Raw genomic sequence first — 26,692 nt, forward strand, 5'->3', positions numbered from 1 at the left:
TCCCAGCTACTCAGGAGGCTGAGGGAGGAGAATCATTTGAACCCGGAGGGTGGAGGTTGCAGTGAGCCAAGATCGTGCCACTGCACTCCAGCCTGGGTGACAGAGTGAAACTCCGTCTCAAAATAAATAAATCAATAAATAAATAATAAAACAATCTCCACGTTTTCAGTGTGTTAAAACAATCTGCTAGCAGGTCATGTGAGTTACTCAGGCGCCACTTCAAGTGTCCACACAGCTGCTGTGCTCTCTTTCAATGACTTTTTCAGCATTCCCAGTTGCGTTGCAGAAACACTGTTCCTCCTCCCCCCACACCTTCCGTGGGCGTCACCAGAGGAATCCTCAGTCACTTCCAGAGTCCTGGCTGTAAAGCCAGCATATCCAGCTTCAGGGGAGAGAGCTCAGCGAGGCGGCTGCATTGGCCGCTGGCCTCACCCAGCGTGGAAGTTCCCTTACGATCAGTGAAGGGTGGAGAGGGAGGGGGACCCCACCCAGTCCTATCTGGACAGAAAACCAGTACAGCCCTTTCAGAAAGCAATTCAGCTATAATACGTATTAAGAGCCTTAAAATTGTTTAGACTTTGGTTCATTAATCTAACTTTTTGTAAACTGTTCTAAAAAAATGCAAAATAATGAAAATATGTATATATGTCATTTGCAGCAAAAATTGTAAACCACCAATGTTCAACAATAGGAAAATATCAGCGAAAACATGGTATTCATATTTATATGCTGATTAAGCAGACATTAGAAGTTATACTTTCAAAGAGTTTTTGAGAACATAGGAAAATGCTTATGTTATACTGCTAAGTAAAAAAAACAGACTACAAACATATAAAAATTTTTCCTAGATTAAAAGAGATTTATTTATTCTTTTTATTTTTTGAGACGGAGTCTTGCTCTGTTGCTCAGGCTGGAGTGCAGTGGCAGGATCTCGGCTCACCACAACCTCCGCCTCCTGGGTTCGAATGATTCTCCTGCCTCAGCCTCCCAAGTAGCTGGGATTACAGGCATGCACCACCACGCCCGGCTAATTTTGTATTTTTTGTAGAGACGGGGTTTCACCATGTTGGTCAGGCTAGTCTTGAACTCCCGGCCTCAGGTGATCCGCCCGCCTCGGCCTCCCAAAGCGCTGGGATAACAGGCATGAGCCACTGCACTTGGCGGAGATTAATTTTTTTTTAATGTTCTTTTACTTTAAGTTCCAGGATACGTGTGCAAAACGTGCAGGTTTGTTACACAGGTAAACGTGTGCCATGGTGGTTTGATGCTCCTATCACAAACATGTATAAAATGTTTATGTAAACGTAGCTAAGGGGCATTAAAATATGGGAAGAGTAGACTGATATTTGATACTTACATTTGCTTAACAATGTGAACTAAGGATGGGGTATTATGCTTTTCTTCATTATGTTTGTTTTCAAATATTCTAACACAAACACATCACACTTTAATAAACTTATTAAATTTGCTTTATTTTTCCACATTCAAGTCTATTATTATAAACTTTATTTCCCCCAGACTCAGCTTGACTCTTGGCTTCCGGGTTTGAGTGCAGCTCCTGAAGAGGCAAGAGTTTGGCCTGGACGTCCTGGCAGGTGGCCCTGCCCTGCCTTGGCAGAGAACTTTGGTCGAGGTTCCCCGTGGGCCTCCTGCTCTTCCTCTGTGGACCCTGGACCCTGTTCCTCTGCCTTTCCTCCTCCCACTTCAGAAGACCCCGTCCACCAGACCGCCTCCCCCTGAGGCCCAACATGCAGCAGAGGCAGCTCCTCCGTCCCTGCAGCCTCCTTTTAACTGTGGGATATGGCAGCCACCCGTGGAGCGGTCCGGGTGACAAAGCCAGCGAGAGCTAGGGAGCGCCCAGGTGAAATCCCACAGGCAGGTGTGAGCACCAATTGTCATTACCTTTGCCCTGGGCCCCTCAGAGACCTGTCCTCCCCCCCCGCCCCCAACAGCCTCCTGGGCGCGGCCACAGACACAGACACAGTGTCTGGACGAGCAGACTCGTCCAGGCACTGCTCAGAGGCAGCCCCTCTGGGTCAGCTGGAGTCGGTGCCTCTGAGAACCTGCCCCTGTACTCTCTCTGGGCTGGTCTCAGGCACCCTGCTGGCTCCAGCCTCTCTTGGCTGACAGTGCTTGGCAGGCGACCCCCAGCCTGAAGCCCCTGCAGGGGAGACCCTCTCCCAGCTGGGCCTCTGCCCTTGAGGACCACCTGAAGCCATCCTTGCCTGCCACACCAGGGTGGCATTGGGGTGGGGACCCAAACCCCTCCCGTCCTCATTGCAGGGACAACTCTGTCTCCTTGCTGCCTCCCCAACACCTCCAGGCCTTAACCATCTTGACTTGGGGAGCAGTCCTGCTGTCCACGCTCCCTCCAACAAGCCAGAGAAAACTCCCGGGCACAGGTGTGCGTGTGGCACGGTGAGTTTTTCTGTAATCCACTCACCTTTATGGATTTACCGCACCAGGGGAAATATTACAACAGGCATTTGTTACTTTACAAATTCCTAGGCTTCCTCTCCCTTCCTTGCAAGGGCATTTTTAGAAAGCATTTCGCCAACATTCACTATTTACCACCATAAATGTGACTCTGGCCAGCTCTGTCCCTGGGTAAGGCCAGAATTGACCATTTTCTTAAAAGTTCCAGCGCCCTGAGGCTTCTGGCAGGCATCTCTGCAGCTGAGGAAGGCTTCTGTCCCGTGCACCCTTCCCCAGGCGGGGGACCCCCAGTTCTGCTGCTCTGGGGCCTCAAAGAACCAAGTCCTCCAAGCTGCTCCACTGCCTCCTCACCAGCCACGGTGCTCCCTGAGCCACAAACCTCCGGCCTCACCCCTGCCCCTCAGGCCCACGTCTTGCAATGGACTCTGCCAGTCCACACATGCCTGGGTGGGGAGGGGTGTGCACTTCTGCAGCTGGGGTGAAGACAGGGACAGGGTAATGTGAGACTCAGATATGAGACGCCAGGTGCAAAACTGCAGGTGGAGAGCTCCCTGTAGAGTGCAGGGGTTCAGGGTAGAGGCTCTGGGGTCTGGAAAGAGCTGGGCGTAGCTGTCACCAACCTTTCTCTGCCTCAGTTTTTTTTTTGTTTGTTTCTTTTTTTTTTTTTTTTTTTTTTTTTGAGACGGAGTCTTGCTCTGTCACCCAGGCTGGAGTGCAGTGGCGTGATCTCAGCTCACTGCAAGCTCTGCCTCCCAGGTTCACACCATTCTCCTGCCTTAGCCTCCCGAGCAGCTGGGACTACAGGCGCCCGCCACCACGCCCGGGTAATTTTTTGTATTTTTAGTAGAGATGGGCTTTCACCGTGTTAGCCAGGATGGTCTCGATCTCCTGACCTTGTGATCCACCCGCCTCGGCCTCCCAATGTGCTGGGATTACAGGCTTGAGCCACCGCGCCCGGCCTTCTCTGCCACAGTTTTTTTGTCTCTAAGCGACAGTCAAAAATAGAACCTAAGGGGGTGTGTTAAGATCACAATAGTTGGCCCGGCGCGGTGGCTCACGCCTGTAATCCCAGCATTTTGGGAGGCCAAGGTGGGTGGATCACCTGAGGTCAGGAGTTCGAGACCAGCCTGGCCAACTTGGTGAAACCCCGTCTCTACTAAAAATACAAAAATTAGCCGGGCGTGATGGCGGGCGCCTTTAATCCCAGCTACTCCGGAGGCTGAGGCAGGAGAATCGCTTGAACCCGAGAGGCGGAGGTTGCAGTGAGCCGAGATCACGCCACTGCACTCCAGGCCTGGGTGACAGAGTGAGACTACGCTTAAAAAAAAAAAAATCACAATAGTTAGCATTTACAAAGCGTTGGGAATTCTACTTGGCACGTGGCCAGAGCTCCGTAGTGATGGGCAACGAACACGTGGTCTGCGCGCCCGGGGCCGCGCGGTCTGGCGGGGCCGCGCGGTCTAGATCACGCTACTCCGGGTCCCAAGGCCCCGCCCTCAGGCCCCGCCCACAGACCATGTCCTCGGCCCCGCCCCTCACGCGCCCTTGGGCCCCGCCCCCGAGCCGACAGGAACGAGCGTCATTGCGAGGCGGCCTCGCGCGCAGCTTCCTTGGGGCCAGGGACCCCAGTGGGGCCGGTACATCTCCCCGCCCCGGCCTCTGCACCCTGGAGGGACGGCAGGAGGGCTCTCTGTGCAGTTTGAGAGAACACCCATACGCAGGAAATGACCCCAACGCCACCGAGAGGGCGCCTGGAATGTGAGCGCCACCTGCTGGGATGGGAAGAGGTCTGGGAGGGGACCTGAAGGATGGTTCACAGGGAACCAGGCCTGTCGGGTGATTGCTGGAAAGATGGCATGGACGGGAGCTGGCTGCTCTGGCCACTCAGCCGACCCCAGCTGGACGCGGCCAGGGCCTGGGGCAGGGGGCCAGGCCTGGGGAGGCCCAACAGCACGCCCCCTGGAGCCAGCGCCTCCCGCACTGCCCAGCCTGTGTGTCAGGAGCTGGGGTGAAGGTCCCATCACAGTCAGGCCCCATCCCTGCTGGGCGTGGCTGTGCAGGAGCCCCGCAAATATGTTTATATATTTAGTATGTGAGTTATATTTCAATAAAGCTGATATGAGATATACTTCACATATCATGCAGTTCACCCATTCAACTCGTTTCGAGTGGACAGTTGAGTGGTTTTTAGGACATTCACAGATAGGAGCTGAGGTCAATATTACAGCACTTTCATCGCCCCGAAAGAAACCTGCTACCCTTTGTAGTCGCTCCTTATTACCCCTTCCCCAGCCCCCGGTGAAAACTCATCTAATTTCTGTCTTCATAGATTTGCATTTCCTGGACATTTCATACAAATGGATCACATAATGCGTAGTCTCCTGTGACTGGCTTCTTTCACCTAGCATTTTTTTTTTTTTTTTTGAGACGGAGTCTCGCTCTGTCGCCCAGGATGGAGTGCAGTGGCACAATCTCGGCTCACTGCAACCTCCACCTCCCGGATTTAAGGGATTCTCCCACCTCAGCCTCCCGAGTAGCTAGGATTACAAGCGCCCGCCACAATGCCAGGGCAATTTTTGTATTTTTAGTAAAGATGGGGTGTCACCACTTTGCCTAGGCTGGTCTCGAACTCCTGACCTCAAGTCATCCGCCCGCCTTGGCCTCCCAAAGTGCTGGGATGACAGGCGTGCGCCGCCGCGCCCGGCCTGCCTAGCATAATGTTTTCAAGGTCCAGCTGTGCTGTAGCATGCGCATGCTTCGCTCCTCTATGGCTAATAACATGCCGCTATTATCAAAATGCTGCAACTAGGAGCGCTAGTGTGTAAATTTGGCGTGGACACTTGTTTCCAGGTTTGAGGAGCTGCCACATTGCTTTTCAGAGTGGCTCAGGAGCTAATTTTTTTGCAGGGTACCATGTCAACAATTTGGGTCAACTAAAATCAGCGTGTCCGCACCATTTTCGCCCGCCCAATTTCACGCGATCCTGCGAAAGAATGACCCAGACCGGTCCGGGCGCGGTGGCTCGCGCCTGTAATCCCAGCACTTTGGGAGGCCGAGGCGGCAGATCACAAGGTCAGGAGTTCGAGATTGGCCTGGCCAACATAGTGAAACCCCGTCTCTACTAAAAATACAAAAATTAGCCGGGCGTGATGGCGGCCGCCTGTAATCCCAGCTACTCGGGAAGCTTGAGACAGAAGAATCGTTTGAATCCGAGAGGCGGAGGTTGCAGTGAGCCGGGATCGCGCCATTGCACTCCAGCTCGGGCGGCAGTGCGAGACTCCGTCTCAAAAAGGAATGACCCGGGTCGCATGGGGTGAAGGGTCGGGAAGCGCCCCAAAAGGAGAACGGGGCTGGGCTCCGGGATCCGTCGGCGAGGAAGGGGCGAAGGGGTGGAGGGACTCGGGCCAGGCCGCCGGGGATGTCTGTGGTTACCTCCAAGCTCTGGAGGCCTTGGCGAGACCCGCGCCATCCGCAGCTTGGTTCCTGCGACCTCAGCCGCAGGGCGGTCCGGCTCCGGTTTCCCAGCAACCAGGCGTCATCCTTCCCAGCAAGCACTGCGTCCAACCCGCGACGTCGGACCACAAGGCCCAGCATGCCCCGCGCGGACTACAAGCCCCACAATGCACCGCACACCCTTTACTGGCCGGCCCCGCGCTGCTCTCCTAAGACCCCGCGGGCCAGCGCCGCGACCCCTTCCCAGCGCTCCTCGCGCTGTGTGCGGCGCGTCCTCTCGCCGGTGACCCGGTGTGCGTGGGGTCGAGGCGCCGGGCGGAGTGGCTCCGGGCCGAAACGCCATGCGGAGGGGCGAGCGCAGGGACGCCGGAGGTCCGCGGCCCGAGTCCCCGGTGCCCGCGGGCAGGGCCTCGCTGGAGGAGCCGCCTGACGGGCCGTCTGCCGGCCAAGCCACCGGGCCGGGCGAGGGCCGCCGCAGCACCGAGTCCGAGGTCTACGACGACGGCACCAACACCTTCTTCTGGTGAGGGCAGTGGGCGGCCGCGGGGCGGCGAGGGTGCCCTCGACCTGGGGGTTCCGGCACCGCTGGCCTGGGGGTCCCCGGCAGCGCCCTCTCGCCGTCTTGGAGTCCAGGACTGTGGCCGGGGGTTTGAGGGTGTGGCAGCACCGCCCCCCGGGTCCCGGGGAGCGGCCGGACCGAGCTCCCGACGCCGGGTCGGGCGGAGGGCGGCGCTGTAGGTGGGGGAGACCCTGGGCAGACCCTCCCTGCGGCCGCTTTGCGTCTCTCTCGCCGCCCTCCCCACCCCTGCCCGCCTTGGCTCTGACCGCGCGGTTCTGCGATCCAGACCCCTTCCCCGCCACCCGCCTCCAGCGTCACCCCAGAAACGCTTTCTCTGTCCTGCTGTCGAAGCTTCACCTGTGTCCCCCGTCATTCTGCCTGTGGTTGCTCCTCAGTGCTTGCGGCTGCACGAAATCATCTTGTGTGTCGCGCCCGACCCCACGTGGCGATCGTGTTGATTAGCAGAGTGTTGTGCGTGCTTCAGGAATGTAGTCGGTGTTCGTCGAATCCAGGCTCTGTTTCTCTCCTCAGTTGCCCCTAGCGGGGCCAGCGCCTCCTCCCTGCACAACTCAGCCCTAGCTACACCTTGGGGTCCCCCTGTCCGCCACTCTGCCTTTAATGGGGGTGGAAAAGGAAGAGGCCCCCGGGAGCAGCTGGAGTGTGGCACTCTGTGTCCAGACAGGCTCCAGGTGCCGCTCCTACTCCCGACAGCTGCGACCCTGGGCTGGCCCTTTGCCGATGCTCCTCTGTGAGAAGGATCAAGCCGTCGACCTGAAAGCAGGCTTCGTGAGAGGAGGGTTTGGCTCTTCTTGACTGCAAGGTGCCCAGTTCCCATCCTGTGGAAGGCCCGGGGGCACAGGGGCAGTAGAGGTGGGGTCAGCCCCAGGAAAACGTGTGGGAGACAGGCGCCTGCGGCCAGCAGTGGAAGGAAGGCTTTATGGACGCTTCCAAGAGAACCATGCTGTGGGATGGTCGGAGAGCAAATCTGAGGGGCGAGGAGGGCCTGATGGAGGAGTAAGGGACTTGTCAGGGGAAGGCGCCACCACAGACAGGGACTTAACCGGTCCTGGCCTGTCACCGCAGCCGAAGCTCTGGAGAGAGACTGTCCAAGTGGTGGGAAAGCAGGTTAGGGTGGAGGAGGCCCCACGCAGGGTCTTCCGTGAGGTGTGGGCAGCTGCTGTTGCAGGGAGGGCATCCGAGCTCTCCTTTGGGGAGATGAGTGTACCGGGTGGCTGCGGGGCCCTCGGGAGGGAGAGGAGATGGGGTGCCTGCCACGTGGACCCTCTGGCTTCCGGGCCCTGTGGACATCAGGCCTCTCCATCAGGTGCCCTGCCACACCCCTTCAGGCTGTCCTCCCGCAGCACAGCTGGGGACCACCGGAGTCTCTGAGGTCCTGGAGCAAGGAGACCAGACTGGCTCTTCTGAGGTCCCGGAGCAAGAAGACCAGACGGGCTCCTCTGACATCCCGGAGCAAGGAGAACAGACGGGCTCCTCTGAGGTCCCGGAGCGAGGAGACCAGACTGGCTCTTCTTGTTTCTCATTTGGCCGTTCAGCACATTGTGGGGACCCCTACTGCCTGTCAGTTACCGTTCTACGGGACATAGCAGAGAACTAAACAAGAAGCTTAGATTCTGGTGCAGGCATGGAACTTCAGAAGGCTCAAAATGTGCTGGCTGGGTGCTGAGTGTGGCAGGAGCCAGGGGGCACATGCAAGCCTGCGCAGCCCACCCAGTACCAGGGAAGCAGGAGCAGCAGCCCAAAGGTAGGAGGGGGCCGGTCTCTTTAGAAGCCCAGACCAGTGGTCCCTGCCCACAAGGGGTGTTTGGGACACAGACGGCTGGGCGCAGCAGAGCTTGCCTGTCAGGAGGCCAAGGGGGTCAGGAGGGCTCTCCAGGAGCGGGTGCAGCGGGGCTGGCTGGTCCAGGTACCTCCTTCCTGGGTCTTCTGGGTGGGTGGCTCTGGCTCTGGCTTTCCCCTCGACCCTGTCCCTGTAGAGACGCATGGGGCAGGTTCTTGCTGTGCCTCCTCCCTTCCCTGTGCAGAGGAAGGAGCTTCACGCTTCTGGGTGGCAGGTAACTCAATGCCTGCCTGGTGAGAATTCATTACCTGCAGAGCCTCACACTGACCTCCTGAGTCCACCTGCACTGACTTGCTGTGCTGGCATTTTTTTAACTCTAATTTTGTGTTTTAGAGAGTTTTACTTTTTATTTTTTATTCATTTTTATTTATTTATTTATTTTTAATAGAGGGTCCCCCTGTGTTGCCCAGGCTGGTCTTCAACTCCTGGCCTCAAGTGATCCTTCCGCCTCAGCCTCCCAGATTGCTGAGATTACAGGCATGCACCACCACATCCAGCCAGGGCGTTCATTTTCAAGGATGGGTGCACTTCCTCGGGCCAGTGACGGCGGCCATGTGTGAATTTTGTTTCTCTGTGACTGCTTGTCAGCCATAGGGATAGGGCGTGCGGTTCGATTCAGGGCTTGACTGGCCCTGGGAGCACGAGGCTGAGCTCTCCTTCTCTGGATTCATTCAGGGTAGCAAGGACAATTATGGGGAACATCCAGAGGAAAACGTTTAGATCCACAGACTCCGAGAAGCCCTGTGCGAAGATGTGGCAGCTCATGCGGTCTGGAAATTGTTTGGGAGAACACTTGGGGACCCCTTACCCTGGCGAGGTGCCTGTGAACGTTGCCGCCTGTCTGTGGGAGACGCTGAAGCAGCTTCGGATGACCACACTTGCTAACCAGTTCCCGAGCTGGGGGCCACTGTGATGTTCTGAGAGTTTTTATTGTATGCTTGTGTCTTGGAATGGGGTGCCTCAAATGAGCCTTCTCAGTGACCTGAGGACTTTATGTGTGAGGTGACCTCTGACCTTCAGATACCCCAGGTTTCTGGAAGATGCCTTTCTCCATCATCCTGGATCGGGGCTTTCCCAGCTTTGCCTACACCTGGGAGGCGCGAGTAGCCAGATGAAGTCTTTCTGGTCTTGCTGGTCAGAGCCAGAAGGGCCAGTGCCCGGTCCAGGAGCCTCTCGCAGGCCTTGGGCTGCCCATCCAGGCGTGGCCTTTCCTTGGCCCTTTGGACGACGACGCCGCGTTTTCCTCTTGGTCTCGGCCTCCCTGCCCACCATGAGAGTGGACATGAGAGTGACCATCTCCAAGGAGGCAGCTGGGTCTTTTCCACTCCCCATGGCAGGGAGCCAGCTGTCTTCACGCCCTCACCCTAGTGAAGTGGCTGAATTGCCAGGATTGATCACAGCTCTGTTCTGTGTCTGATCACAGGACATACACCGTCCTGCAGAGTCTGCAGGCGGGTGGGAGGAGCCATTGAACAGACCTGGCGTCCTGGGAGGGACACGGAATTCTTCCCTTGAGAGTCTCATGCTATCTTGAGCGGCACTCTGTCACTTCCAAGATGTGTAGACGTCGTGCTGCGTGTAGGACAAGGACTGGAGCTCACTAATACGGACCTTACTTTCCAGGAGCGTTGGATTTGAGCAGCTCTGAGATGTGTCCTCCTGCAGGGCTGCTGTGCCTGGTGCCCTTTCTCTGGGTCCCTTACCCTCTGCCTCCCTTCCTGTTGGGTCCTCTTCATTCCCATTTCTGCTTCCCCAGGGCCAGGAGGGTGCTGGGCACTCGGTGGCCACCTCAATGACAGTGTGCACATTTACCTGAAGGGGCGAAGGGTTACCTTTATATTTCAGGTAATCTCTGTGTTTTGGGGAAATGGAAAGATGGTGTTGGGTTAGGGTTGATCAATGATCAGCGTTTCCCTGGGCTACACAAGGAGTGAGTGTTGGGTTGGTGGCCACTTTAGAAACCACAGGAAGGTCTCTGTCGTGGAAAGTCGTATTAAAGGAGTCAAGTTTTACGCCTGTAATCCCAGCACTTTGGGAGGCCGAGGCAGGTGGATCACGAGGTCAGGAGTTTAAGACCAGCCTGGCCAATATGGTGAAACCCGGTCTCTACTAAAAATACAAAAATTAGCTGGGTGTGGTGGCGGGCGCCTGTAATCCCAGCTGCTTGGGAGGCTGAGGCAGGAGAATCGCTTGAACCTGGGAGGCAGAGATCGCGCCAGTGTCCTCCAGCCTGGGTGACAGAGCAAGACTCCATCTCAAAAAGAAAAAAAGAAGTCAAGTTTCAATTTTAACTTGTGTTAGTGTGTGATCCTGTCTTTGTGTGCTGTGGAACTTGGTGCTGGTGGGACACAGGCTGCTCACCCCATCCCTTGAGCTTTGCGTTTATTCCTGGGATTCTGCATGTGAATGGGAGCCTGTGCTGTATCTGGGAGATGCTGACTGGGTTGCAGGCACGTCCGAGGGTCAGGGTGGGGCCGAGTGCAGCCTCCTCCTCCAGTGGGCCTGTGTGTGGAGTGGTGGCATTCTGGGTGTCCCTGAGGCCTGGTCGTTTCCATCTTCTTCCTGAGCCCACATGGAGATGACGAGGGGTTTCCTGCTGGTCTCTTGCAGAACAGGGTTGAGTGGTGTCCTCACGTTGATCTAGCTTCTGGGTCTCCCATTCTGCATGTGAGCAGGTTGATGGGCTGTTGTCTCTTCCACGGTTAGCCTCCCTTAGGCTGGGGCTCCTTCACCCCTCTTTTCTTAGAGACATTACTGCCCAGAGTGAGAACCCCTCACGTGGGGTGGCCGTGTGGTTCCAAGACAGGGTCCTGTGGAGGCCCTGTTAGCTTCCCCACTGGAGGCCTCCCTCACAGCAGGCTCCTGTCCCGGCATCTGCACTCCAGCCAGGCAGAGTCCTGCTCCCGTGCACACCACACCCTGTCTGTCTGTGCTGTGGGCCCTTGGCGGGGTTCTGGGTGTCTGGAGCCCCTTGACCTTGTTCCTCCTACAAGGTGACCTCGTCAGGAAGCCCCAGGATGAGACTGTCCCTGGCTCCTCCAAAGGTCACTTCAGACATGTGCACCCTTTGGAGAGGTCCCTGCTGTTTCTCAGAACTGCTGGGGATGGAGGCTGAGCCCGAGAGTGCTTGCTCCTCGCGCTCCCTTCTTGCTATGGTCTCCGGAGATGCCTCCCAGGCCACGAGCCCTCCTGGCGTGGTTTTACTGGGACCTGGCTTTGCAACAAAAATAGTTGTTTTAACCTCCCTAACCACTCCCATCCCTCTTTTGTTTTTCTCTATAACGTGTAGGGTTTCTTAGCTCTCCTGTATTGGTCTCACTCCACTGGAAGGAAGGCTCAGGAACGCAGGCTGTGTCTTCTCCCGGGTGTGGCTGGGGCGGGGGCTCAGGGAATGGCTGTGATGGCCCAGTGTCCAGGAGGCTCCGGGCCCCACCCCCCGCCTTGCTGCATGACCTTCACAGTGTCACTTACCGGCCCTGACTTGCCTGCGGGCACCACGCACACGGCATGAAGGTGCCCTGGCCCGGGGCACGGACACAGCCAGAGCCACCGCGCTCCTGGCTGTCATCACGTCGTTGGCTTTGCGATCTAAACCTGCTTGTTGTTTTGGTTTTTCTTTCTTTCTGTTTTCTTTCATTCTTTTTTTTTTTTTTTTTTTTGAGACAGAATCTCACTCTGTCACCCAGGCTGGAGTGCAGGGATGTGATCTCAGCTTACTGCGGTCCCCGACTCCTGGGCCGAAGTAATCTCCCCTCACCCTCCCTCTTCCCAAGTAGCTGGGACCAGACATGCGCCACCACATCCAGTTAATTTTTTTTTTTTTTTGGTAGAAATAGGGTCTCACTATGTTTCCCGAGCTGGTCTCCAACTCCTGGGCTCAAGTGATCCTCCTGCCTCAGCCTCCCAAAGCTCTGGAATTACAGGTGTGAGCCACGGTACCTGCCCCCAAACACTCCTGACTCTTCTTATCCTAACCGGGGTCATCTTACTCTCCTCACCGAAATCTGATGTCACCTGTATGGAGGAAAGGGTGGGCCTCATGGAGGGGCAGGCCAGGGACAAGGGGACTCCTGGGCCCCAGCTGAGCCCAGCCCGTTTCCCCTCAAGGGCTGTCTCCAGGAGGACACGTTCTGTAAGTGTAGTGTTCAGCAGAGGGTGAGTTTCTGGGTCGCCGAATCCAGGCACCCTTAGGAATGGGGGCCTAAGAGGGCCTTCTGACGTGGGTTCTCTGCTGTGATTGTGGGCAGGTCTCTCAGTACTGAAGGGCCCCACGGTGTGGAGCTCAGCAGGAAGGCTGAGGTTCCCTGCGGTTTCCTCATGGCTTAGGACTCAAATGCAAATGTATCTAAAGAAAAAGGTGGTTGATAGTCACAATGAAACTTTTATTTACCTCTGGTTGTCTTAAATGCCTAGTATTGTAAAATATGGCAGAAGAATTCACTTTCATGCCTGTAATCCCAACACTTTGGGAGGCCAAGGTGGGCAGATCCCTTGAGTTCATGAGTTTGAGACCAGCCTGGAAAACATGGCAAGACCCCGTCTCTACAAAAAATACAAAAAAATCCAACCTGACCCACATGGCAAGACCCCATCTGCACAAAAAATACAGAAAGTTCCAGCCTGGAGCCTCCACCTGCAGTCCTGCAGCTCCACCCTGGCTCTTCATGAAATCGGCTAAGTCCAGGTGTGGGTGCGTTCAGTGCAGCACCCACGTGCAGGTGACACGCCCATGCACCGCCACAACCACGCTCACACCAGAACATTCCATCATCCGGAAGGCCCGTGTCTCCGCTCCAGTCTGCTTTTCGTGGATGCAAACTCATTTCCTTGAGTCGTGTGTGGGTGACAGCAGATGGGAGGTTTCTTTTGTGCCTGGCGTCTGTAGCGTGTTTTTCTTTTTCTTTTTTTATCTTTTGAGACGGGATCTCACGATGTTCATGATGTTGCCCCGGCTGGTCTTGAGCTCCTGGCCCAAAACAGTCCTCCTGCCTGGGCCTCCCAAGGGGCGTGTCTTTGAGATCTATCCACGTTGAGGTCGTTGCCAGCAGCACATTCCTCTGAGTGCTGAGCCATGCTCCGCTGGTCGGAGGGACCACAGTGTTTCCTCCACTGATAGAGTTTTGGTTTGTTTCCCGTTTTAGGTTATTATACCTGAAACATCTGCATGTAAGTCTTTGACTGGACCTGTGTTTTCATCTGTCTCAGGCCCACGTTTGGGAGTGTGTCTTTGACTGGACCTGTGTTTTCATCTGTCTCAGGCCCACGTTTGGGAGTATGTGGCTGGCTGGATAGCAGACGTAGCATAGGCCTCACTTTTCTGTGCCGTTTTGCAGTCCCACCTGCAGTGCGTGAGCATCTTGCTCCGAGACCTCACCAGCACTCTGCATTGTGATGTTCTTAATTTCAGCCGTTCCAGCAGATGTGCACTGATGCTGTGTCGTGGCTTGGATTTGTGATGCTTTTAATTTCAGCCGTTCCAGCGGATGTGTACTGATGTGTCCTGGCTTGGATTTGCTTTCACGGTGACCAGTGCTGCTCCTCGTTTGTTCATGTGCTTATTGGCCATTTGTATGTTTTCCTTGTGAAGTGTCTGTTCAATTTTTTGCCTATTTTTTCATTAAATTGTTTATTGAGCTGTATGAGTTCTTTATAAATTCTGGATAAAAAGTATTTTTTTTCTTTTTTTTTTTTGAGATTGAGTCTCGCTCTGTCGCCCAGGCTGGAGTGCAGTGGCGCGATCTCGGCTCACTGCAGGCTCCGCCTCCCGGGTTCACGCCATTCTCCTGCCTCAGCCTCCCGAGTAGCTGGGACTACAGGCGCCCACCCACCACACCCGGCTAATTTTTTGTATTTTTAGTAGAGATGGGGTTTCACCGTGTTAGCCAGGATGGTCTCGATCTCCTGACCTCGTGATCCGCCCGCCTCGGCCTCCCAAAGTGCTGGGATTATAGGCGTGAGCCACCGCGCCTGGCCTGATTTTTTTTTTTTTTTTTTTTTTTGAGACAGATCTTGCTCTGTCTCCCAGGCTAGAGTGCAGTGGCACAATCATCCTAGCGCACTGCAGCCTCAACCTGGGCTTAAGCGAATCTGCCACCTCCCGAGTAGCTGGGACTACAGGTGCCTGCCACCACGCCTGGCTAATTTTTTATAGAGATGGGGTCTCACTGTGTTACCCAGTCTGGTCCTGAACGCCTGGGCTCAAGCAATCCTCTTGTCTCAGCCTCCCAAAGCGTTGGGACTACAGACGCGTGCAGCCTACAAAGTTTTATCAGATATATGTATTGTGAATATTTTCTCCCAGTTTGTGACTTGCCTTTTCATTTCTTTAGGGCACAAATAGTTTACATTTCATGGAGGCAAGTCCTGGGCAACATGCTTTAAGTGCATTGTTCACTTAATTTTCATGATGTCCTTGGAAGTCAGAAGCTTCCCCATTTAGATATGAGGAAACTGAGGCACGGAGGGGTGCATCATCTCTCCAAGGACACACTCCAGTGGATGTAGGACCTGGGTTAGACGTGAGGACACACTCCGGTGAATGTAGGACCTGGGTTAGACGTGAGGGGACACTCCGGTGGATGTCGGACCTGGGTTAGACGTGAGGACACACTCCGGTGGATGTCGGACCTGGGTTAGACGTGAGGACACACTCCGGTGGATGTCGGACCTGGGTTAGACGTGAGGACACACTCCGGTGGATGTCGGACCTGGGTTAGACGTGAGGACACACTCCGGTGGATGTCGGACCTGGGTTAGACGTGAGGACACACTCCGGTGGATGTCGGACCTGGGTTAGACGTGAGGACACACTCCGGTGGATGTAGGACCTGGGTTAGACGTGAGGACACACTCTGGTGGATGTAGGACCTGGGTTAGACATGAGGAAACTGAGGCACAGAGGGGTGCATCATCTCTCCGAGGACACACTCCGATGGATGTAGGAACTAGGTCTCTGCCTCCATTTGCAGATGGTCATGCAGAGGGGGTCTCAGGCGAGTGTCTGGCACAGGCAGTGGCTGGGGTCTGGTGGCCCCCAGTTCTGATACTAGGCTGGTTGTGGGCTTTTCCACCAGCGATGGGACAGGACAAGACTGCAAAGGGAGCGCCCTGCCTCCTCCTCCCACGTCTGGGCTCTGACAGGCCAGAGGACGGGCAGACCCACGGCTCGTGGCTCACTCCAGCTAGCAGCGGTCACTCTGCAGGCCTCTGCTCAGGCCCCTTCTCAGCTCTTGGTGTCTTGGGCTGCTGCACTGAATCTCAGATGTTATTTCATGAACCCAAAGAGTTGTTGTCTCGGCTTGTCTTGCGCAGTGAAAAGCGCGTGTTTTACGTGTCCAGTTGCTCTTAATAGCAGATACCTGCCCTGGACGCCAGTGGCAGCATGTGCCCTCTGAGCAGCGGCCTTCAGCTTCCCAGGAACACGGGGCTCTTCCTGTCCAGCCTCCTGGGGGCTGGTCTCAGCCCTGACTGGCCAGCAGACGCAGGGTCATCTCGGAGTTACCCAGCTAGGGACTCGCAGCCAGTTGCTGGTTGGGAGTTGGAGAGTGGAGTTTAAGCCCTCTCCTTGACGTAGAGAGGATTTGGGGCCTGTTACGTGAGTATTTAGCAATGCTGCCCAAGCTCTGACACCATGCTTATGCGTTTTTGGATTTCAGGCGAGCCCACACCTTAACCGTGCTCTTCATCCTCACCTGTACGCTTGGCTATGTGACGCTGCTGGAGGAAACACCTCAGGACACGGCCTACAACACCAAGAGGTAAGCTGCCCTCTTGTCCTGCCTTCTGAAACTGCCCTGTGCCCCGTGTGGTGGGTGTGGCACCCTTACTGCTCGGGCTGCCGGGGGCTCAGAAGGCCTTCACCAGAGGGCTGCGTGGGGCCGCCGGCCTCTCCCTTGAGTGTGTCTGATGTGCAGACTCCAGGGCTGCCCTTGGTGCTGCGTGGCGTTCCCGGTCAGCCCCCGTCGCCTGTCACTGGGAGCCAGGAGTCTGTGTCATCTCCACGTGACCGGCAGCCTGTGCTGCGTTTCCTCTGAGTTTTGCATGTTGAGGTTGGAACGAGCTGCAGCAGCTACAGGGCTGAGCCCTTGAGTTTGGGCGTCTCCGGGGGTGAGGTTCCTGCGGTGGCCGCGTGCTGGTTCCGTTAGCCAGCGGGGCTCTTGCACGGACAGGGGCCGACACGGACCGCAGACCATCTGGTCAGCAGCCAAGCGAGTAAACTCGTCTTCTCAGGTTTATCTCCACAGGCAGGCAGGCTAGACCTTGGGTGTGTCCTCTGCCTGAATTCCATGGATTCTGACGCCAGTCTCAGAAGTGCGTGTGGAAGAGAAGCTGGTTTTAGAGCCTGTGAATCAGTCTTGAGTTTTCTGTGCCTGACTCTCCTCTCGCGTTGCTCTTCCGACGCGCGCACAGGGTGTGTCTGCCCAGGGCTGCCTCCTGCCCAGCAAGGCTGCTGACACCATCAGGGCCTGGCCCCACTTGCTCCGGCGGGATGGTGGGAGGAAGCCGGAGCAGGGTCTGAGACCAGCAGCAGGATGGGGACAGAGGTGGAAGGAGGCATTGGAGGCCTGTTGGTGTCGGGGCCACAAGTTGGCTCTGGTTGGCGGGAGCCCTGGGGTTTGTAGGACTTAGCTGTCCCTACAGCTCTTGGGCCAGCACTTCATTTTGTAAAGCAAGAGTCTCGCTATCTTCGTGACTGTTGGGTGGGGTGATGGGTGGGCATGGTGTGAACGTCATCACGCTTGCACGGGCGTTGGTGGCCCTGTTTGCCCACTGATTTGACACCAGCCCTGTGGGCTCTAGAACACAAGCATGCCCAGTGCCCTGTCTGTAGGGGAGCGGATGCTTTAGAATCACGCACAGCAGACCTCATAACTGAGTCCATCTCCCTGGGGGCAGTGGGGCATTTCTGGTTAGAAATTACTGTTGAGGTGCCTGGACCCAGGACTCTGCAGCCTGCTCCCCAGATGAGCTCACCCTCCATCCTCACCTGGGAGGCGCAGGTGGCCTCTCCTGTCCTGGTCTCCCTACCCTGCTCCTGGCTGCATGCTCTGTGGGTTCTCTCCCACCTTGCTGTCATCCCTCTCCCAGTCAGCTTTGCTGGCCCTTCCCCCTTTTTCTGAGCCTGAGGTGCCAGCTTGCTCCCAGGCCTGGCCTGGCCAGTGCCTCCCGTGCTCCAGGCCCAGCTCGCTCCTTCTCCCTTTCTTAGGCAGTCCCAGCGGGGGTCACGTGCAGAACCTGCAGGCCCGGTGTGCACTGTGTAACTAGGCTCCAGAAATAGATGAGGGAGCATGTGCCGTGCCTGGGGCCCCTGTGGAGGGGCCACCTGGGGACGCTGGACCTGTGGCTCTGGAGGCAGTGAGGCAGTGGGCAGGAGCCCCGTGTGTGCCTAGAGGGAGCTTTCAAGGAGGACTTGGTCTTTCTTGAATTCATCCATCAGCACCTGGCTAGGAGGGTCTGTGGCATCTGCCGGGCACAGCAGGGTAGGTGGATTAGGAAGCAGGACCGGGTCTCACCTCAAGTGTCCCACATGGCAAGAATTGTCAAGAGCAGGAGTGCAGGGGGTGTCTTGGGAGCACTCCCCGAAAGCATTCACCAGGCCCCCACCAGGCGCATCACAAAGCCTCACCACCCCAAGCCAGGCCCTGCCCTCCCAGGCCTGGTTCCTATGGGAAGCACTAGGTGACCCAGACCCAGAGGGGCCAGGAGCTTAGACCCCTGAGGGGGCAGCAGTGGTGGGCACGTCCCCCACTTCACCCAGCACTGGCCTCTCCTGAGTGGCCCCCGACGTGAGAGGCTGGGTTCTGCCATCCTGTCCTCTCCAGCAGGGAGCCCCTGCGTGTGTTCATTGAGAGGGGCCAGGAGACGGGAATTCACGGGGCCCTGGGCACTCTTCTCTGAGGTTCTGTTCTGGGGACACTAAACGCGCTCCCAACTCACATTCTCTTTCCCCCTCACCCTCTTTGAGGGCACAAAAGAAGCCACCTGTCCTTCTCTGCTGCTGGCACCTAGAACCTGCTCTGGGCTCCTTCCTGGAAGGCTCGGCTGCCCCAGGTCACCCTGGCACTGACCGTGGCTCTGTGGCTCCTTCCAGTGAAATTGCCGTGGTGCACCTGTCCTGAGTCCATTCTCATGGCCTGGACCCGCACTGCTGCACACCAGAAGCCCAGCTCCTGGGCAGCCACCCTACCTGCCCCTACGCAGGGTGTCCACACAGAGGGTGTCCGCACACAGGGTGCCCACACACAGGGTGTCCCCACACAGGGTGTCCAGAAGGCTGTGGGGGCTGGTTTACTTTTAATACTAGAATTATCTGATGTCCTCAAGGGTAGATTTTCTTATATAGAAAATACCTTCTAGGCCAGGCGCGGTGGCTCACGCCTGTCATCCCAGCACTTTGGGAGGCTGAGGCGGGCAGATCACGAGGTCAAGAGATCGAGACCAACCTAACCAACATGGTGAAATCCTGTCTCTACTAAAAATACAAAAATTAGCCGGGCGCGGTGGCTCATGCCTGTAGTCCCAGCTACTCGGGAGGCTGAGGCAGGACAATCGCATGAACCTAGGAGGTAGAGCTTGCAGTGAGCTGAGATCGCACTACTGCACTCCACCTGCCGAAAAAGCGAGACTCCGTCTCAAAAAAAAAAAAAGAAAAGAAAAGAAAATACCTTCTAGAAATTAGGCTTAATTTTATTTTTTATTTATTTTATTTTTTTTTGAGATGGAGTCTCGCTCTGTACCCCAGGCTGGAGTGCAGTGGTGTGATCTCGGCTCACCGCAAGCTCCGTCTCCCGGGTTCACGCCATTCTCCTGCCTCAGCCTCCCGAGTAGCTGGGAATACAGGGCCCACCACCATGCCCAGACAGTTTTTGTATTTTTAGTGGAGACGGGGTTTCACCGTGTTAGCCAGGTTGGAATTTTTTTTTTTTTTTTGGTCAATGTTGACCAGGTTGGCCTCGAACGTGTAGCCTCGCCTCCCCAAGCGCCAGAACAAACAGCCTGAGCCACTGCAGCTCCCAGCCTTATTTTTTTGTTTTCAGACAGACTCTCGCTCTGTTGTCCAGGCTGGAGTGCAGTGGCACAATCCTGGTTCGCTGCAGGCTCCACCTCCCGGGTTCCCGCCATTCTCCTGCCTCAGCCTCCCGAGTAGCTGGGACTACAGGTGCCCGCCACCATGCCCGGTTAATTTTTTGTATTTTTAGTAGAGACGGGGTTTCACCGTGTTAGCCAGGATGGTCTCGATCTCCTGACTTCGTGATCCGCCCGCCTCAGCCTCCCAAAGTGCTGGGATTACAGGCATGAGCCACCATGCCTGGCCAGCCTTATTTTTAAAAATTAATATTTATGTTATTAAAGTTAAAAAGTTATAAAACTAGTGTGTCTTTATTCAGCTTGCTGTCATTGTTCTTTTTATGGATCTAACAGGTTCCCCACCTTAGGGGATGATTTTCTTTTTCTTTTTTTTTTCTTTTTTTGGAGACAGGGTCGTGCTCTGTTGCCCAGGCTGGAGTGCAGTGGCGTGATGGCCCACTGCAACCTTCACCTCCCAGGTTCAATCAGTTCTTGTGCCTCATCCTCTGTGGTAGCTGGGACTATAGCCGTGCACCGCCACGCCCCACTAATTTTTTTATATTTTGGTAGAGACAGGTTTCACCATGTTGCCCAGGCTGGTTTTGAACTCCTGAGCACAGACAGTACACCCGCCTCAGCCTCCCAAATTGCTAGGATTACAGGCGTGAGCCACTGCGCCCGGCCCCGTTTTGCTTTTCTTGAGTCAACGTTATTGACCTATAATTTACTATAATCTGTGTCTGATTCACGCGTACGGCTGATGAGTTTTAACAGACTCAGAGCCCCGTGTGCCCACCACTGCATGGGGGTGCGAAAGTGTTCACTGTTCCCTGCGCTCAGAGTGCCTCACCCCGGCTCGGGCAGTGCGGAGGCATCTCCCCTGCGCTCAGAGTGCCTCACCCCGGCTCGGGCAGTGCCAGTGCATCTGCCTGGGTGAGAGCAGGGTCTGTGCTGCCGGCCCCGGCTTCCTGTGAACGCAGTTGCTCCTCCGGCCTGGCCTCTCCCGCTGGAGGGCAGCTTCGCGGCATCCTTGCTGTGCCTGCCGGTGGGCTCACTGGGGAGCTTCCGTTGCGTGGACACGGCACCGTTCACTGATCTGCCTGTATGGGGGTGACCCTGGGGGAGAGTCCAGCTTTCCTCACCAGTCCATTACATTTTTATCCCATTTTAAACTTAGTAAATTAAACCTCTTCACACATTTTACTCAATAAAATACATGTAACATATATAAATGTAATACACTTAAAATATAAATATCCTTACTTGTAATACATATAAAACATAATGCATATAAATATACTCACAGTGCTGAAGAATAACAAAGTTGGACACAGAAACTACACAATTTCAAGACTTCCTGTCAAAAATGCACCGAAATACCGAGCCCAGAAACAGGCGCGCACGACTGCAGGCAGCCGATCCTTGACAAAGGAACAAAGGCAAGTCCATGGCGAAGGGATGGCCTTTTCAACACTGGCGCTAGAGCAACAGAACATCCACGTGCAAATCTAGACACAGACCTGACACTTCTCACAAAACCTAATTCTAAATGGATTCTAGATAAGCCTAAATGTGAAATGAGAAGCTATAAAACTTCTCTTTTTGTTTTTGAGACAGGGTCTTGCTCTGTCACCCACACTGGAGTGCAGTGGCGCAGTCACAGCTCACTGTAGCCTCCAACTCCTGGCCTCCAGCAATCCTCCTGCCTCAGCCTCCCAAGGAGCTAGGACTACCGGTGTGCACCACCACACCCAGCTACTTTTTAAAATTTTTTGTAGAGATAAAGTCTCACTGTGTTGCCCAGGCTGGTCTCAAACCCCTGCTTTGGCCTCCCAAACTGCTGGGATTACAGATGTGAGCTATCATGCCCAGGCATAATTATAAAACATCTGAGCTATCATGCTCAGCCACAATTATAAAACATCTTGGAGAAATCACAGGAGAAAGTATAGTGACCTTGGGTTTGGTGATAATAAAATACCAGTAGCACAATCCATGAAAATAAAAACTTGATCAATTGGACTTCATTACAATTAAAATTGTCTGCTGGGTGTGGTGGTTCATGCCCTTAATCCTAGCACTTTGGAAGGCCAATCTAGGAGGATTGCTTGAGGTCACAAGTTTGAGACCAGCCTGGGCAACATAGTGAGGACCACCCCCCCCCCATCTCTACTAAAAATTAGGAAAAGATAAATTGGCTAATTGTGGTAGTACATGCCTGTGGTTCCAGGTACTCAGGAGACCGAGGCGAGAGGATTGCTTGAACCCAGGAGGTCTAGGCTGCAGTGAGCTATGGTAGCACCACTGCACTCCAGCCTAGGCGACAGAGTGAGACCTTGAAAAAATTAAAATTTCTGCTTTGTAAAAGACACTGTTAAGGGAACGAAAAGGTGAGCCACAAGCTGTTGAAAATGTTTACAAAACACCTATCTGATAAAGTACTTGTATTCAAAATATGCAAAGAACTCTTAAAGCTCAAGAAGAAGAAAAACAGGCTGGGCAGGGTGGCTCACACTTGTAATCCCAGCACTTTGGGAGGTTGAGGCAGAAGGATTGCTTGAGGCCAAGAATTCCAGACCAGCCTGTGTAACATGGTCTATTAGTCTGTTTTCATACTGCTATAAAGAAATACCCAAGACTGGGTAATTTACAAAAGAAAGAGGTTCATCGACTCACAGTTCCGAATTGCTGGGGAGGCCTCAGGAAACGTACAATCACTGTGGAAGGCAAAAGGGGAAGCAGGCACCTTCCTCACAAAGGCGGCAGGAGAGACTGAGAACGGGCACAGGAAAAACTGCCACTCTTTTTTTTTTTTTTTTTTTTTTGAGACAGAGTATTGCTCTGTTGCCCAGGCTGGAGTGCAGTGGCATGATCTTGGGGCTCACTGCAACCTCCGCTTCCTGGGTTCAAGCGATTCTCCTGCTTCAGCCTCCCGAGTAGCTGGGACTACAGGCATGCGCCACCTCGCCTGGCTAATTTTTGTATTTTTTAATAGAGACGAGGTTTCACCATGTTGGCCAGGTTGGTCTGAAACTCCTGGCCTCAAGTGATCCGCCCACCTCGGCCTCCCAAAGTGCTGAGATTACAGGTGTGAGCCACCGCGCACGGCCAAAACTGCCGCTTCTAAAACCATCAGCTCTCGTGAGACTCCCTCACTACATGAGAACAGCATGGGGGAACCGCCCCCATAACCCAGTCACTTCCCTCCCTCCACACGTGGGGATTACAATTCAAGATGAGATTTGGGTGGGGACACAGCGAAACCGTGTCACATGGCAAAACCCCGTCTCTACAAAAAATACAAAAATTAGCCAGGCGTGGTGGTGCACACCTGCAGTTCCAGCTACTCAGGAGTCTGAGGTGGGAGGATCCCTTGAGCCCGGGAGGTCAAGGCTGCAGTGAGCCAAGATCACACCACTGCACTCCAGCCTAGGCAACAGAGCAAGACCCTCTCTTTCAAACACAAACCTGGGTGACACCCACTCGGAAGGCTAAGGCAGGAGAATCACTTGAACCCAGGAGGCAGAGGTTGCAGTGAGCCGAGATGGGGCCACTGCACTCCAGCCTGGGTGACAAAGGCAAAACTTTGTCTCAAAACAAAGCAAAACCTGGGTGAAAGGTCTAAGCAGATGTTCACCAGGGAAGTTATTCAGACGGGAGATTGCGGTGGGAGGATACCCAGCATCATTTGTCCTTCAGGAACTGGAAACAGGGAGACGCCACTGCATACCCGACGGAGCAGCTAAAACCTTAAAAACCGACAGTACCAACGCTTCCAGGAACTCTCACCCATTGCTGGTGGGAATACAAAAGGCTAAAGCCGCTTTAGAAGACAGTTTCACAGACTCTCACAGAACTAAATATAAATATATTCTTGGGCTGGACGTGGTGGTTCACGCCTGTCATCCCAGCACTTTGGGAGGCTGAGGCAGGTGGATCACGAGGTCAGGAGATCAAGACAAGCCTAGCCAACATAGTGAAACCCCGTCTCTACTAAAAATGCAAAAAATTAGCCTGGCATGGTGGCAGGCACCTATAATCCCAGCTACTCGGGAGGCCAGGAGGCGGAGGTTGCAGTGAGCCGAGATCGCAACATTGCACTCCAGCCCGGGCAACAGTGCGAGACTCTGTCTCAAAAAATATAGATATAGATATAGATAGATAGATAGATTCTTACCATGCAATCTAGCAGTTTTGCTCCTGAATATTTATCCAACTGAATTGAAAACTTATGTCCACATAAAAACCTGCATGCAGGCCAGGCATGGTGGCTCACGCTTATAATCCCAGCAGTTTGGGAGGCTGAGGCAGGAGGATCGCTTGAGCCCAGGAGTTCAAGACCAGCCTGGGCAACATACTGAGACCCCATCTCTACCAAACTAAAAAACTTAGCCGAGTGTCACAGCACACACACATGGTCCCACCTGTCAAGAGGCTGAGTGGGATCTCAAGCCCGGAAGGCAGAGGTTGCAGCGAGCTGTGATTGAGCCACTGCACTGCAGCCTGGGCAACAGGGTGAGACCCCATCTCTAAAAGATAGTAATGAGCATTAAGCCACTGCGACCGGGAGGAACCTTAAATACATGTTTCTATAAATACACATTCCTAAGTGAGAGGAGCCAGTTGAGAAGGCCGCGCACTGTGATTTCAGCTCGATGACCTTCTGGAAGAGGCAATATGATGTGGTAGTGAAAACATCAGTTGTTTCCCGGGGAAAGGGGAGAGTGGATAGTAGAATGCAGCATTCGTATGGCAGTGAGGCCACTCTGTGTGGCACCATCCTGGTTGGTACATGACACTGCGTTTGTCCGAACCTGTAGAACTGGACAACACGAGCAGACCGTGTGCAGATTTTAAACATTCATTGAGGAGATGGGGGTCCCGGCGGGGAAGGCCGACTGACAAGAATCTTAACTACTGCAGATGCATTCCGTGACCTTCCTGAAGGGTGTTCAGAGGAAGGTGCTGAGTAACTTTGGAAATGAGCAGTGTCTATAAGGCCAGAGGCAAAAGGAATGGCACAGACGCTGCTCTAGTCGATAAAGTTTTGCTGCACAGAGGTGCTGACTGGCAGCTCTGTCACTGTGGTGTGTATGATGGCTGTGGGAGGGGAGTCTCTGGATAATCAGAGAAGGAGGGGAGTCTCTGGGTAATCAGAGGGAGGAGGAGGGGAGTCTCTGGGTAATTGGAGGAGGGGAGTCTCTGGGTAATCGGAGGAGGGGAGTCTGGGTAATCGGAGGAGGGGAGTCTCTGAGATGGAGGGGAGTCTCTGAATAATTGGAGAAGGAGGGGAGTCTCTGGGTAATCGGAGGGAGGAGGGGAGTCTCTGGGTAATCGGAGAAAGAGGGGAGTCTCTGGGTAATCGGAGGGAGGAGGAGGGGAGTCTCTGGGTAATCGGAAGGAGGAGGAGGGGAGTCTCTGGGTAATCGGAAGGAGGAGGAGGGCAGTCTCTGGGTAATCAGAGGGAGGAGGAGGGGAGTCTCTGGGTAATCGGAGGGAGGAGGAGGGGAGTCTCTGGGTAATCGGAAGGAGGAGGAGGGGAGTCTCTGGGTAATTGGAAGGAGGAGGAGGGCAGTCTCTGGGTAATCAGAGGGAGGAGGAGGGGAGTCTCTGGGTAATCGGAAGGAGGAGGAGAGGAGTCTCTGGGTAATCGGAAGGAGGAGGAGGGCAGTCTCTGGGTAATCGGAGGGAGGAGGAGGGGAGTCTCTGGGTAATCGGAGGGAGGAGGAGGGCAGTCTCTGGGTAATCGGAGGGAGGAGGAGGGGAGTCTCTGGGTAATCGGAGGGAGGAGGAGGGGAGTCTCCGGGGGAGTCTCTGGGTACTCGGAGGAGGAGGGCAGTCTCTGGGTAATCGGAGGGAGGAGGAGGGCAGTCTCTGGGTAATCGGAGGGAGGAGGAGGGGAGTCTCTGGGTAATCGGAGGGAGGAGGAGGGGAGTCTCCGGGTAATCAGAGGGACGAGGTTGGAGTGGCCGCTGTGATGGTGGATTACCATTGCACGTTTAGCCCAGAAGAGACAAAGATGGTTAAACAGTGTGTGCGCAGTGGTTAATGGATACACACAGATCTTGTTGCTGTACAAGCTGAGGGGGCCTAGAACCAGCTATGCTTGCAGCAGTGAGCACACCCAGGCCCAGATCCTGGTTCCTAGTGCCCTCCAGTCCACGGGGCCAGGGCTCTGAGGAGAAATGGCTGATTCCAGCACCGGGGCAGGAAATGCCCAGGATCAGCTGATCCTGGCAGTTCCAGAAAGTGAGGAGCTCTGTAAACAAAACCCCACAGTCACGGGATTGCGTCCCAGTGAAAGAGCCTCCCAGTGGCCAAAGAGCAACAAAATAATAAAGTAGTATTAGAATATAACCCAGAGTAGAAAATAAACATCCACGAGCCCATAGTGATATAAGTGATTGAGTAAATAAACAGAGGGAACAAGACCAACCTTCCCTGCAGAAGGTTTTCAGTAAATGAGGTAGATCCCCCCATTCCAGGAGCTGGCGTGAGCTCCCGGCACCGCTGTGCGCTGCGCGTGGTGACCTGACCTCCTTCCTGGGCGTGCAGCACGGAGAGGGCAGTGGGAGGAGGACGCTGCAGCCGAGGTGCCCGCAGACACCCCCAAGCCCAGTGGTCAGGTCAGCATGCACTGGTCATGTTCATGGCGTGGCCGACGGGGAGGCTGCTGCCCCATCCTCCCAACCCCGACGACCCCAGCCCGGCCATGCAGAGGCATAGTCGACCATCTCACTAAGGAACATTCCACAGAATTCCTGACCAGGCCTCCTCCAAACCATCCAGGTCATCAGAGACAAGGAGAGTCTGAGAAACCGTCCCAGCCTCGGGGAGCCTGAAGAGACAGAACGAGTAGATGCCATGTGGCTTCCAGGAAGAGATTGTTGGGGGCGGGGCAGGGGGAAGGACATCAGGGGAGAGCGAAGGAAGTGTAGGCCTCAGCAGCTGTGTGGCAGCACTGGCTTATTTATTTTTTATTTTTTATGTTTATTTTATTTTATTTTTTGAGACAGAGTATCACTGTGTCACCCAGGCTGGAGTGTAGTGGCGTGATCTCGGCTCACTGCAACCTCCGCCTCTCGGGTTCAAGTGATTCTCCTGCCTCAGCCTCCCGAGTAGCTGGGATTACAGGTGCCTGCCACCACATCTGGCTAATTTGTGTATTTTTAGTAGAGATGGGGTTTCACCATGTTGGTCAGGCTGGTCTCGAACTCCTGACCTTGTGATCCGCCTGCCTCAGCCTCCCAAAGTGCTGGGATTACAGGCGTGAGCCACCGCACCCAGCCAGCACCGGCTTATTAATGGTGAGATGTTAA

The 26,692-nt window shown here is 54.8% G+C and overlaps 1 protein-coding gene across 11 annotated transcripts in view, besides 15 other annotated features; it reads left to right on the plus strand.

Moving 5' to 3' along the window:
• Positions 3,682-3,821: an enhancer, noted in NCBI's record as "active region_4275". NCBI's record gives its function as "activates an Ori minimal core promoter by ATAC-STARR-seq in GM12878 lymphoblastoid cells {active_cell/tissue: GM12878}" and the evidence as "EXISTENCE:reporter gene assay evidence [ECO:0000049][PMID:35858748]".
• Positions 3,832-4,121: a silencer, noted in NCBI's record as "silent region_3006". NCBI's record gives its function as "represses an Ori minimal core promoter by ATAC-STARR-seq in GM12878 lymphoblastoid cells {active_cell/tissue: GM12878}" and the evidence as "EXISTENCE:reporter gene assay evidence [ECO:0000049][PMID:35858748]".
• The window catches only part of PTDSS2 (phosphatidylserine synthase 2), a 43,132-nt gene continuing 20,482 nt past the window's right edge, over positions 4,043-26,692 (plus strand). For 5 of the 11 annotated variants that reach the window (XR_242827.2, NR_138046.2, NM_001329544.2 and 2 more), the window contains exons 1-2: positions 6,054-6,412; positions 15,962-16,063. Coding sequence is in view for 6 of the 11 variants with exons in the window: in NM_001329544.2 (NP_001316473.1) it covers positions 6,231-6,412; positions 15,962-16,063 (284 nt within the window). In the remaining 5 variants the exon portion in view is untranslated. Of the gene's footprint in view, positions 4,195-5,343; positions 6,413-7,131; positions 8,211-15,961; positions 16,064-26,692 lie in introns of those variants that run through there. The other 6 variants (XR_002957201.2, XM_024448699.2, NM_001329548.2 and 3 more) reach the window with 4 other exon arrangements.
• Positions 4,212-4,521: a silencer, noted in NCBI's record as "silent region_3007". NCBI's record gives its function as "represses an Ori minimal core promoter by ATAC-STARR-seq in GM12878 lymphoblastoid cells {active_cell/tissue: GM12878}" and the evidence as "EXISTENCE:reporter gene assay evidence [ECO:0000049][PMID:35858748]".
• Positions 5,554-6,240: an enhancer, noted in NCBI's record as "H3K27ac-H3K4me1 hESC enhancer chr11:449779-450465 (GRCh37/hg19 assembly coordinates)". NCBI's record gives its function as "activates a minimal SCP1, AML or CMV promoter by ChIP-STARR-seq in naive H9 embryonic stem cells {active_cell/tissue: H9 hESC(naive)}" and the evidence as "EXISTENCE:reporter gene assay evidence [ECO:0000049][PMID:30033119]".
• Positions 5,554-6,388: a biological region, named in NCBI's record as "H3K27ac-H3K4me1 hESC enhancer GRCh37_chr11:449779-450465".
• Positions 5,839-6,118: an enhancer, noted in NCBI's record as "active region_4276". NCBI's record gives its function as "activates an Ori minimal core promoter by ATAC-STARR-seq in GM12878 lymphoblastoid cells {active_cell/tissue: GM12878}" and the evidence as "EXISTENCE:reporter gene assay evidence [ECO:0000049][PMID:35858748]".
• Positions 6,149-6,388: a silencer, noted in NCBI's record as "silent region_3008". NCBI's record gives its function as "represses an Ori minimal core promoter by ATAC-STARR-seq in GM12878 lymphoblastoid cells {active_cell/tissue: GM12878}" and the evidence as "EXISTENCE:reporter gene assay evidence [ECO:0000049][PMID:35858748]".
• Positions 6,579-6,638: a silencer, noted in NCBI's record as "silent region_3009". NCBI's record gives its function as "represses an Ori minimal core promoter by ATAC-STARR-seq in GM12878 lymphoblastoid cells {active_cell/tissue: GM12878}" and the evidence as "EXISTENCE:reporter gene assay evidence [ECO:0000049][PMID:35858748]".
• Positions 6,649-6,738: a silencer, noted in NCBI's record as "silent region_3010". NCBI's record gives its function as "represses an Ori minimal core promoter by ATAC-STARR-seq in GM12878 lymphoblastoid cells {active_cell/tissue: GM12878}" and the evidence as "EXISTENCE:reporter gene assay evidence [ECO:0000049][PMID:35858748]".
• Positions 10,702-11,423: an enhancer, noted in NCBI's record as "H3K4me1 hESC enhancer chr11:454927-455648 (GRCh37/hg19 assembly coordinates)". NCBI's record gives its function as "activates a minimal SCP1, AML or CMV promoter by ChIP-STARR-seq in naive and primed H9 embryonic stem cells {active_cell/tissue: H9 hESC(naive and primed)}" and the evidence as "EXISTENCE:reporter gene assay evidence [ECO:0000049][PMID:30033119]".
• Positions 16,437-16,620: a silencer, noted in NCBI's record as "fragment chr11:460662-460845 (GRCh37/hg19 assembly coordinates)". NCBI's record gives its function as "represses an EF-1alpha promoter that drives an FKBP-Casp9 reporter gene in an ReSE screen in HepG2 liver carcinoma cells {active_cell/tissue: HepG2}" and the evidence as "EXISTENCE:reporter gene assay evidence [ECO:0000049][PMID:32094911]".
• Positions 16,437-16,624: a biological region, named in NCBI's record as "ReSE screen-validated silencer GRCh37_chr11:460662-460845".
• Positions 16,455-16,624: an enhancer, noted in NCBI's record as "experimental_21475 CRE fragment used in MPRA reporter constructs". NCBI's record gives its function as "activates a minimal promoter by MPRAs in K562 erythroleukemia cells, with activity observed for both the introgressed and non-introgressed 11:460765 or rs35389167 variant alleles {active_cell/tissue: K562}" and the evidence as "EXISTENCE:reporter gene assay evidence [ECO:0000049][PMID:34662402]".
• Position 16,540: a transcriptional cis regulatory region, noted in NCBI's record as "Neanderthal adaptively introgressed variant 11:460765 (GRCh37/hg19 assembly coordinates) or rs35389167 in the experimental_21475 CRE". NCBI's record gives its function as "modulates activity of the experimental_21475 enhancer by MPRAs in K562 erythroleukemia cells {active_cell/tissue: K562}" and the evidence as "EXISTENCE:reporter gene assay evidence [ECO:0000049][PMID:34662402]".
• Positions 22,936-23,435: an enhancer, noted in NCBI's record as "H3K4me1 hESC enhancer chr11:467161-467660 (GRCh37/hg19 assembly coordinates)". NCBI's record gives its function as "activates a minimal SCP1, AML or CMV promoter by ChIP-STARR-seq in naive H9 embryonic stem cells {active_cell/tissue: H9 hESC(naive)}" and the evidence as "EXISTENCE:reporter gene assay evidence [ECO:0000049][PMID:30033119]".

This window comes from Homo sapiens, chromosome 11 (genome assembly GCF_000001405.40).
Source record: "Homo sapiens chromosome 11, GRCh38.p14 Primary Assembly".
In the NCBI taxonomy this organism is placed as follows: Eukaryota; Metazoa; Chordata; class Mammalia; order Primates; family Hominidae; genus Homo; species Homo sapiens.